Source organism: Homo sapiens, chromosome 7 (genome assembly GCF_000001405.40).
Source record: "Homo sapiens chromosome 7, GRCh38.p14 Primary Assembly".
Classification (NCBI taxonomy): Eukaryota; Metazoa; Chordata; class Mammalia; order Primates; family Hominidae; genus Homo; species Homo sapiens.
The window spans coordinates 26,399,656-26,412,021 of record NC_000007.14 but is presented as its reverse complement, the minus strand read 5'-3'; the positions used below and the strand labels follow the sequence as shown (position 1 = coordinate 26,412,021).

Below are 12,366 nucleotides of genomic sequence, written 5' to 3'. Positions count from 1 at the left end.
TAGTATCAAAGACTTTTTAATGAGAAAATACCTATGCTATAATGTTAAATACAAAACAAGATTAACATACAAAATTATATATCCAGTATGATCCCATCTCTAATACATCAAAATCTACTTTCAAGAAAAGACTTTATAAACCATCTTATTCTTAATCGTAAATTGTTAGAATATTTTAGCTAGCAGCCTGCATTTTTTTTTAGTACTTAATAATATCTCCTTTACTTACTTTAAGAAAGCTGTTATAAATTCATTCTTACTAAGGTGTAAATGGCCAGTAACCTTTACTACTTCCCAGGAAACAGTTGGAATTTAATGAGAGATGTAGTTAGCTGACAGGAATTAATTGTCAGATTTTAACTATCCGCTATACAGTAGGCATAGTATTTTGAATCAGGCACAAGATGAGGCTTTTTGGAATTCCTGATATTATATAGCACAAGTCTCTCAAGCCTGGTCCCAGCTCTTCTTCCAAATGAAAAAACAAGAGTCCTCGCCTATACCAAGAATATAGATTAGCTATTTCACTCACCCACTTAGTAGGTGTATATGTGGAACCTTTTAGGATTTAAAACTCATCTACTTCCCAAAAGAATTTGAAAACATTTAAGAAAATTAATTCAATTAAAAACAAAACAGAAGCAGCTAACAATGGCCAAAAGCTAGATACAAAGATACGCAGCCAGGCACAGTGGCTCACGCCTATAATCCCAGCACTTTGGGAGGCCGTGGCAGGAGGATCACTTGAGCTCAGGAGTTCGAGGCCAGCCTGGGCAACATGGTGAAACCCCATCTCTACAAAAAATACAAAAATTAACAAGGCATGGTGGCATGCACCTGTGGTCCCAGCTATTCAGGAGGCTGAGGTGGGAGGATCATTTAAGCCTGGGAGGCAGAGGTTGCAGTGAGCCCTGGGTGACAGAGTGAGACCCTGCCTCAAAAAAAAAAAAAAAAAAAAAAAAAAAGATATTGCTATAGTGAAGCAACACGTGTGATTTACATCACCCTCTGAGGGAACAGCATTATCTTTTACTCAGTAAAAGTGTGCTGACTGATTGTATCACCCATAGCACTTCCCGTAGTAGGTGTTCAAAATGAACAAATTTAATCAACATGCATCAACTTCAAGGTTTAGCTATCCTTCCTAAGGAAACCAATGTCCAAATAATGAAGTATTTCATAAATTCCAAAGCAATAGCTGATCCGGATCATTTTATTTTTCTGCTAAGCCATTTACAGCACCCCAGGCCTAAAGTATATTATGTGTTGTCGCTTTATAATGTATTTAGAAGTCAACAGACTCCCCTTCCCCTCACCTCACCATTATATGATCCACATAGGTCAAATTTTGTGTCAAGCAAATTAAAGTGTTACTTTATTATCCAAAGTAATTGTTTCTGGATTAAAAGGCTATTATGCTGAAATGGTTATGTTGGCGATTATGCCGTTAAAAGTGTGGGGCTAACTATTGGTTTAGCTGAATGCCCATGTTCCTGAAAGTCTTCTTTCAGCTCTCCTGTACGTGGCAAATCATTCTTAACTGGGTACTCCAAATGGTCTGAGTGCCTCAGATGTACTTTACTAAGCCATTAACACATTGAAGTCCCTCCCCTAATTCCCCAGTGGACCATTAATTAACAGTGTAAGAAGAAAGAACCAGGCCCCCCATTGCGATGTGACTGAGATGAAACCTTTCAGCAGTGATGGTGCTCAGAACAAGACAGTCATTGCATGAGCTCTCTTTGTCACATCAAATATGCCATCAGAGGAGGGGAGAGGGCACTATTAGAACAGTGCTTTTATTACAAGCATTTTTTAAAACTCTGCCAAGTATAAATACTTTTTTGAAAGCATCAAGGAATCTCAACATTGCAAGGAATTTTGAGACTGACTTGGCCTTCAAACTGCTCCCATATCTGATGACCCACTATTTGCTAAGCGCTATGTTAGACAATTCAATGCTTACAAATCCCTTCAAGATTTCCTATTGTACACATGTGGGAAAAGAAGCTTAGAAAGAAGAATCTATCCAAAGCCTCATGGCAACTTGTAAACTACGTTAAAGATCCATTTGGGTTTATCTCTAAAACACAGTCTTCTATCACATACCAATTCCCTAAAACCACAGCAATCTAGCTCCAGGCTTACATGTTAGGCCACACATAGGTCTACGCACATACCTTAGAACCATATGGTTAATCATAAGCCAACAAAACCCTGTAAAATTCCCAGAAATAAACCTTACAAGAAACAGGCAAAATCTATTTGTGATCACACACACACACACACACACACACAGAGAGAGAGAGAGAGAAGGAGGTTTCAACAAAGTTTTGAGCTATTTGAGAAATCATGTCTCTTCTTATATTATCACATAAGGAGACTCAAAATTGCAAAAAAGCCAGTTCTCCCCCAAGTTAATTTATAAATTTATGTAAACATATATTGTATAAGTTACATAATTCTAATGAAAGTCCCAACAGGATCTTTCTTGAAACTTTGAAAAATAATTCTAAAGCTTATCTGGAAGAATAAACATTCAAGAATAGCTAGCCAAGAAAATTCTAAACATAAGAGTAATGAGATATTAAAATGTATGGTGCTGACACAGAAATACACAGACTGACCAAATTGCCATGGTAGGGCCAGAAAGTATGTTTAGACATTTAGTACATAATCAAAGTAGCATTTTACATCAGTGGGAATAAGATAAATTATTCAAGAAATGGGAAATGGTCTTCATACATAACAAAAAGAAATGATCTTGAAAAAACTAGCTAGCCATTTGGACAAAATAAATAGAGCTGGATCCCAGCTTTATTATTTATACTGCGTTAAATTCCAGTGGGATCAACACTTTAAATGTAAAGATTGGAAAAATGGAAAAGTATAGGAGAAAAACACATGAAGATTTTTATTATCCAGGGAAGTAACAGTCTTTCTTATCATAAGTCAAAGGCCAGAAATGAAAAGAGAAAAATTTTATTTCATAAATTGTATTTCATAAAAATGTAAATTGATAAATTTTATTTCATAAAATTTTATTTCATAAAAAATTTATTTCATAAAAACTATAGGTAAAAAATAAGCAAATGACAATCTGAGAAAAATATTAGCAACAAATATGATTTTAAAGGGTTAATATCACTAATCTTAAAAAGAGTATATAAAATACTTTCTCATATATATATATATTTATTTTTTATTTATTTTTTTTTTCAAGACGGAGTCTTGCACCCAGGCTGGAGTGCAATGGTGTGATCTCAGCCCGTTGCAACCTTCGCCTCCCGGGTTCAAGCAATTCTTCAGTCTCAGCCTCCCAAGCAGCTGGACTTAACAGGCATGCATCAGCACGCCCAGCTAATTTTTGTATTTTTAGTAGAGATGGGTTTCACTATGTTGGCCATGCTGGTCTCAAACTCCTGACCTCGTGATCTACCACCTCAGCCTCCCAAAGTGCTGGGATTACAGGCGTGAGCCACCGCACCCGGCCTCTTCTCTATATGCTAACATTTTTTATTTTTTTATAATGAGCATGTACCATTTTTCTATAGAGAAAAATAATAAGGCTGTTTTAATTTTTAAAAAGAAATATTTGTTTAACCATGCCTACTTCCTCCAGCATATAATTCCCAATATTTAAAGGAACTAACCAAGAACTTTAGATCTACAATCACAACCCTAATCAAAGTTCTAAAAGTTATCGAAGTTCCATGTGCTTAAGAATCGCCCAGGGGGCCAGGAGCAGTGGCTCACGCCTGTAATCCCAGCACTTTGGGAGGCCGAGGCGGACGAATCACGAGGCCAGGAAATCTAGACCATCCTGGCTAACATGGTGAAACCCCGTCTGTACTAAAAATACAAAAAATTAGCCGGGCGTGGTGGCGGGCGCCTGTAGTCCCAGCTACTCAGGAGGCTGAGGCAGGAGAATGGCGTGAGCCCGGGAGGTGGAGCTTGCAGTGAGTTGAGATCGCGCCACTGCACTCCAGCCTGGGCAACAGAGCGAGACTCTGTCTCAAAAAAAAAAAAAAAAAAAAAAAGAATCGCCCAGGGAGGTTTTACTGCTGATTTCAAGGGTAGAAAAATTTGCCTTTGAAACTGAACAAGCATCTTGATGTATCAAGTCTGCTAACCTCACTTTGAAAATTATTGTAGTAGTATATTCAATCATGGAATATTTAAACCTGCAAAACAAAGTACACTGGGAGACTATCTCTGAATTTACCAGATACAGAAATACCCAGTGCTTCTGCAATATACCCATGTAACAAACCTGCACATGTACTCCCTGAATCTAAATTTTAAAAATAAGGAAGAAAGAAATGCCCAGTGCTTCTTAAAGCAGCTACATTGGCGACTGAATAGTTGCTTTCTCTGTCTTACAGTTTTGGGGGTCCCTTAAGATCGGATGCTAAAATGTTGATGCCAAATGAAACTTACTGTCTTGAAATTTCATCCTCAAGATGTCTTACATTTTGTGCTGAGAAAATAATTATTTGATATGACACTGAACTTTCTGCAGCTCCATGGTATAAAATATGTGGTTGTGTCTTTCCCAGTTAAGTGACTTTTACAGGAACTCAATCTTTCATGTGCAGTTTTAATTTCATTTGCCAAAGATGTTATGTGTTTTCTCAGGTAGAAAGAAAATCTGATTCTTTCTTGGAAACTTCCTGCTTCACTTCAACAATCTGATTTTTTCATAAACTTGGAATGACCTTTGCAAGTGTCTATGGGGCTCTTCTTCTCCATTCCCACCTCCATGTTAGGAGCTTCACAGGCTTTAAATATTGAGACACTAGTACAGTTCATTAGGTATATATGTGACATATTCAAAGCTATCTCTTTAGATTCAAAACTTATGATTTCAAGTTAATTGATAACATGTCCAGAATTAAATGCAGTTTACTTTGAGAGATCTTCCTATGACTGTGTTTTTCAAAGGACATGAAAGAATTAGAAATTGATCATTTTTTTCTTTGTTTTCTCTTTTTACAACTTCTGGTGAAAAGTAGTTAAATCCTATCACCTACATGTTTAGGCTTACAATCATTTCTCTCCTTGTTTACAGGTACCATCAAACTAGATAAAAACAATTCTGGAGCCATTTTACTGTTTATATAATATTAGGTCATTCCTTTCTTCCTTCTTCACTCATTCATTTGATCGGTCCTTATTGAGCATCTGGATACGGTCCAGTTACTTTGCAAGATCATAAGCCTAGAAACACTTTTGGAACTCTAATTCTGATTGATCCAATATTTTCCTAAGTTTTGCCAAGAAGGACTCAAACTCCACAACTGCAGCATAGCTCCAGAAATATCAACTAAACAACTACTGTGATATTAGTTTCAATAATCTTGGTAAATGGCCAGGCAAATGTCTCGCCAGCTGGGGACTATCAACCATCATTACTTTCATCTGGTGCTTATGGCTCCACATGGGTCTCCTGGTCTTTACTGACATAGAAATACTTAAGTTTCCTGACACCCAATGATATGTATGACATACTCTGCCAGTAGCTCTCTTGATACTGGTAGAGGGATATGCTCTTTCACAATGACCATTCTTCCAAAACAATCTTTACTCTGGGAGTATCTGGGAGTGAATCATGGATGAAGAATTCCACTGTCTGAACAAAGACTGCAGGTCCCCAAAATCCTGACAGTAATTTGGGATTGGCACCTCCTCACCCACACAGTAAGATCCCTCTCTTGTCATACTATCAGTAACCCTGTGCTGCCCTTGAATTTCTGAGGAAATCAGAAATTTGTTTTCACCGGCCAGTCCTTGCTCCATGCCAATGAAAATATCACATTTGGTTCCATCAGGAGTCCCCCTGGAGGTGTCTGCCATGGATTCCACATGCAAGGTGATCTCATAGGAAGCTATTTTGGAAATCCCCAATATCAATGTGGGACAGATGGCTTGACTCTCGGAGGTTTTAGCAGAGCCTCTTAGACCTCTCGCTTTCCTTTGTAAAATCCAAGACTCTAGTGACTGACAGGGCTGGCAAGGCATCCTTCTTCAATAATTCAATAAATTCAGCAAACTCCCTCATCTTAGGTGAGTCACTGGTCACAAGAGATGTTATGATGGCACATGTTTGGTCTTATGGGCTATCTGCTTGTGTTTCTTTTGTTTGCTTCTAGATAGCCTCAAATACCACTTGGAAAAGTCTGAGTCTAAAAATTGGGGGAACTATGTATAGTTCATCTGAAAGTCAGCACAAACTTTAAACAAGTCCTTCATTCTTTTGGGCAAGGTGGGCTTGGTAATAATTCTCAAATAGTACTGGTGTCAGCTTGAAGGGAGGTCTCTAATCAATAGGTCCCAGGGTTCTCTCTATCTTTAGACACTGCCTCAGTCAGAATGTTTCCCTTTGCCACAGAGGAGGACATGATGGCAAGCTTATCAAGTCCAATAAAATTCATTCAGCGTGTGAATCCCAAGAAAGAGGACACTTGACATCCAACTCTGCAATGTACTTCAGAGAAACCATTTAAGCAACGTCTGTTCAACTTCAAGACTGGAGATAGGATTCAGCTGCATATAAAGAGTAATTACCAGAAGATTCCTATGTCCCGCTTTTCACTTTTCTTCATTTTTACTAGTATCCTCTTCTCTTCTTTTCTTTTATTTTCTTGTATTTCTTTCTTTTTCTGTTTTGCCAAAAGGCATATAAAGTATTTGAGGTCACAGTAAGTGCCCCTGGTTGTTAATTCCAGCAAATTATAAGCAGCCCCTTACTACCATAGTAAAGGAACACTCTTAGGTATCACACAATGCTCTGCAGTATGCAGATTGGAAGATAAAAACCTTTCAGGCAAGTTCAAGTCCTGTGGCTCAAAAGCCAAAAGATTTTTGAGCTGATAAAAATATTAGAAATGATCTAGCCATTTTACAAATGAGGCACATTAAAGCTATGGGATGTTCATGGCTTACCAGTGCCCCACTACAATTCAGATATACAGCCTGAATGGGAACACCCACTCCTTCCCTAAGTCTCTCCCTTACACTCCTGGCACCTTGTAAGTAGGAAGCACATGCCCTTCTGCTCTCCTTTCTCCCTGACACACAACCCCTGTGCCATTCACATGGGCATTCCACAAAGCTCCACCTCTTTCATCGTGGTTTCCTCTGTCTAAAAGTCCTTCCTTAATCTGGAAATCATTCCCTACTCATCTTCCAAGACCCGGCTCAAATATTGAACTTTGGGGAAATTTATGTACTCCGTGCAAGTCAGTTGCTCAATGTTTACTTTGCCTGTACTCTGTGACTTTTCAGACTGGTTTACATCCCACTGTCTCTCCTACCCGGAGCTCCTGGAACCAAGAATAACATGTCAGCCATCTTGAATCCCCGGCTTTACACAGAGCCAGGCACCTGGTACACAGGAAGTGGCCAATTAAGCAAACAAACAACACCAACAATAAAAACAACTCTCAACCAGGCCGCATTCTACAATTCTGTGGAGGCCAAAGCTCCTGCTTTCAAGGGGCTTATTCAGTGGAGGAGTTGCTTATAACCTCACAATAAATATTTGCTGAATCATGAATTAATGTGCTCTAATTCTGATTCTCCCAGGTTGATAGGTTATTACCAAAATTCATCTGCTCTCAGTGTGATTTGTAGCTCAACCATTGTTTTATCTTGGCTAACAGGACTTACTACTCTGTAGTCTGGCTTCTGCAGTTCACTGAACTTATCACTGTCCCCAGCACTGGACTCTCACCATAAAGCTATGCAGAGAAATCGGCGGGAAATTCACTGTCACACATTAGAAGTGTCTTCCACGATAAAACGTTAGCCTGGAGTGGGAAACTAAGCACACATACTGTTAGTCGGTGTGTAAGATGATCAGCTTGGCAATATATATCAACATTTTTAATGTACGTCTTTTTAGCTCCATTTCCACTGCTAAAAATTTATTTTATGAACATACTTGCACAAATTTTCAAATGTGACTTATAAGGATATTCACTGCAGTAATGATTGAAATAGCATACATCTAAACATTGTTATATCCATACCCTGGAATTCCATGCAGTTATTTAAAAGGACGCCACAGATCTAAATGTGCTAAGAAGGAGTAAAGTTCAATAGACATGCATCACTTAATGATGGGGATACTTTCTGACAGAGGTGTCGTTAGGTGATTTCATCATTGTGCAAACATCATAGAGTATACTTACACAAACTTAGATCATAGAGCCTACTACACACCTAGGCGAGATGGTGTAGCCTATTGCTCCTAGACTACAGACCTGTACAGCATGGTACTGTACTGAATACTGTAGCAATTGTAATACAATGATGAGTATTTGTGTATCTAAACATAGGAGATGTACAGTAAAAATACAGTATAAAAGATAAAAAATGCACTTTGGGAGGCCGAGGCTGGCAGATCATGAGGTCAGGAGATAAACACCATCCTGGCTAACATGGTGAAACCCCGTTTCTACTAAAAACACAAAAAATTAGCTGGGCATGGTTGCACGCACCTGTAGTCCCAGCTACTCAGGAAGCTGAGGCAGGAAAATCGCTTGAACCTGGGAGGCAGAAGTTGCAGGGAGCCAAGATCGCACCACTGTACTCCAGCCTGGGCGACAGAGCGAGACTCCACCTCAAAAAAAAAAAAAAGATTAAAAATGGTACACCTGTATAAAGCACTTACCATGAATGGAACTTTCAGGACTGAAAGTGTCTCTGAGTAAGTCAGTGAATGAGTAGACAGCGAATGTGAAGACCTAGGACATTACTGCACATTACTATAGACTTTATAAGCTCTATACTCTAGCCAGGAATGGTGATGCACGTCTGTAATCCCAGCTACTCAAGAGGCTGAGGCAGGAGGATCACTTGAGCCCAGGAGTTCTAATCCAGCCTGGGTAACATAGAAAGACCCCATCTCAAAAAAATAAAAAGTGAAAATAATAAATAAACTCTGTATACTTAGGCCACACTAAATTTATTAATTATTTTCTTTCTTCAATAATAAACTTAGCTTACTATAACTTTTTACTTTATAAAATTTTTAATTTTTTTAACCTTTTGATTCTTTTGTAATAATACGTACCTTAAAACACAGATTGTATAGCTGTACAAAATTATTTAATTCCTTTTTATCCTTATTTATATCAGCTGTTCTCTATTTTTAAAATTTTTATTTTTTATTGTTTTTAATTTTTAAATATTTTGTTGAAAACTAAGACACAAACAGATACATTAGCCTAGGCCTACACAGGATCAGGATCATTAATATCACTGTCTTCCATCCCCACATCTTGTCCCATTGTAAGGTCATCAGTGCATAGAACTGCCATCTCATTTTTTTTTTTTTTTTTTTTTTGCTCTTATCACCCAGGCTGGAGTGCAATGGCATGATCTCCACTCACCGCAACCTCTGCCTCCTGGGTTCAAGCGATTCTTCTGCCTCAGCCTCCCAAGTAGCTGGGATTACAGGTGCCTGCCACCACACCCAGCTAATTTTTGTATTTTTAGTAGAGATAGAGTTTCACCATGTTGGCCAGGCTGGTCTCGAACTCCTGACCTCAGGTCATCCACCCACCTTGACATCTCAAAGTGCTGGGATTACAGGTGTGAGCCACCGTGCCCACCCCCATCTCCTCTATTAAAATTCCTTCTTCTAGAATCCTTCTGAAGGACCTGCCTGTGGCTGTTTTATAGTTAACTTTTATACATATATGTGTGTATAAATATGTGTGTATGCATGTGTAGAAAGTAGTCTAAAATAATAATAAATAGTATAGTAAATGCATAAACTAGTAACAGTTGTTTATTGTTATTATCTAGGATTATGTACTTGATAATGTGGCATACTGTGGTATGTGGTATACTTTTAAATAACTGGCAACGCAGTAGGTTTGTTTACACTGACACCACCACAAGCACACAACTAATGTGTTGCATTAAGATGTTACAAGGGCTAAGACATCACCAGGCGATAGGAATTTTTCAGCTCCACGGTAATCTTACAGGGCCACTATCGTATATGCAGTCCATTGCTGATCAAAACATCATTATGGGGCACATGACTGTATTATTAATTGAAAATATAAGATGTTGAAGATTAACATTCAGCATTAACCCATTTGTGTAAACAAAGAGTAGATATACAGTCATGCACCACATAATGACATTTCGGTCAACAATGGACCAAATATACAACAGTGGACCCATAAGATTAATATGGAGCTGAAAAATTCCTATAGCCTAGTGGCAATATAGCCATCACAATGTTGTAGAGCAATTACCTTTTTAAATATAAATTTAGTGTAGCCTAAGTGTACGGTGTTTATAAAGCCTACACTAGTATACACAATGTCCTAGACCCTCACATTTACTCGCCACTCACTCCACTCACCCGAGCAACTTCTAGACCTGCAAACTCCATTCATGGTAAGTGCCCTATACAGTTGTATTTTTTCTTTTTTTACCATTTATACTGTATTTTTGCTGTACCTTTTCTACATTTAGATACATAAGTACTCACCATTGTGTTACAGTTGCCTACAGTGTTGTTTTTTTTTTTTTGAGATGGAGTCTTGCTGTGTTGCCCAGGCTGGAGTGCAGTGGCATGATCTCTGCTCACTGCAAACTTTACCTCCCAGATTCAAGTGATTCTCCTGCTTCAGCCTCCTGAGTAGCTGGAACTACACGTGTATGCCATCAAGCCCAGCTAATTTTGGGGTTTTTAGTAAAAACAGGGTTTCACCATGTTAGCCAGGCTGGTCTTGAAGGCCAGCCTTGGCCTCCCAAAGTGCAGGGATTTACAGGCGTGAGCCACAGTGCCTGGCCAATTGCCTTCAGTATTCTGTTACAGTACCATGCTGTACAGGTTTGTAGCCTAGGAGCAATAGGCTATACCATATAGCCTAGGTGGGTAGTAGGCTACACCATCTAGGTTTGTATAAGTACATTCTCTGATATTCGTGCAATGATGAAATCGCCTAACGATGCATTTCTCAGAACATATTCCCATCATTAAGAGATGCATGACTGTATATATTTGCATGTGTTTTTAAGTTACTGGAAGAATATACAAAAATATTAATAGTGCTTGTAACAGTGAATGGTATAGAAAGAAGGAAGGAAGGAGTGGGAGGATTCTGTTTTTTATTTCATACACTTCTACAGTGTTTGAATTATTTTTATTGAATATGTTACTTTCATTATTTTTAAAAACATCTTCTTCCCACCTTCTCATCTTGTCTATTTCAGCCTAGCCAACTAGGTTTTCTCAGGACTGAGGTTATTTATTCCATATTAACTCTGTCTCAAGCTCATATGCATCTCCCACGATTATTTTTCCCAAAACACTTTAGGTTTAAGAATGACCTTTCCTAGGTCTTTAGCTTATGATTAACCAAATGAAACCATCACTAGATGGACTCCCTAATTCAGGTGTTGAATTACAAAAATGAATTTTCAGGGGGAAAAAAATGCTAACTCAATTATGTTAGTTAAAATATCAGTAAAATTAGCAATGCCACAGTGTCATGAAGCAGAAGGTCAAAGACCCACACACCCTTTACTGGGCGCCATGGTGGGACTTAACTGGGGCAGTTCCGGTTCTGCCATTAGGACCATGAGCACTCCAATCTCAGTGAAATTGTATAAGACACTGCCATTATCCCCGGATCATTGCCACGATAGACCCAAACAACTCCAGTCTATCGTGTCAATGTGTATTTGGGGAGTCTTTAACACACGGATCATTGGCGAGCTGCACCATAAAAGCCCTGTAGGAGCCGTGGCCGTGTGTGGAATCAATGCACACTCGGGGACTTCCCCACGCCCGGATCATTTGCAGCGCATCGTGTCAATGCATACTCCGGGAGCCCCTACTCCGAAGCCTGTGAGTGCTGAGGAACAGTGTACACCAAAAATACTTATGGAATAGTTGTTACAGTGCGTACACAGTATTCACTTTTCTAAATGGCATGTCAGCAAGTTTAGTGTGCCACAAATAACTCCTAAAAGGCACAAAACACTCCTAGAGGCCCACCTTCACACATGAATGGTTGGTCCATGGAATTGTGGCATGGCTGTGGGGGAGTGTAAGTTTTTCTTTACAGTGAACAAAGGGAAAAGAAAGAGACATCTGCTATTCAGTGTTGTCAGGGTTTTCAGCATAATCCCAAACACCTCCTAATTATTTTCCTGGGCATTTGATCCCTAAGATACAAGGACCTTCCCTCCATCCCTGCCCTGTTCCAAAGTACCTGTAGAGCAAGCTGAGAGGGCAGAGTTAGAGGATGGGTGGGGTTGGGTCTTAAGTGCGATCCCACAGAGATATAATGTGAACCACATGTGTAAATTTAAATGTTCTTTGTGGCCACA

At 39.0% G+C, this 12,366-nt stretch overlaps 1 long non-coding RNA gene across 6 annotated transcripts in view; it reads right to left on the bottom strand.

Annotated features, from left to right (window-relative positions):
* LINC02981 (long intergenic non-protein coding RNA 2981) overlaps nt 1-12,366 on the bottom strand; it is a 142,382-nt gene that overhangs the window by 128,929 nt on the left and 1,087 nt on the right. For 3 of the 6 annotated variants that reach the window (NR_148499.1, NR_148504.1, NR_148503.1), the window contains exon 2: nt 8,505-8,626. The exons of the other annotated variants lie outside the window; for them this stretch is intronic. This is a non-coding gene — a long non-coding RNA (long intergenic non-protein coding RNA 2981). The remainder of the gene's footprint in view (nt 1-8,504; nt 8,627-12,366) is intronic. 6 annotated transcript variants of the gene reach the window in all.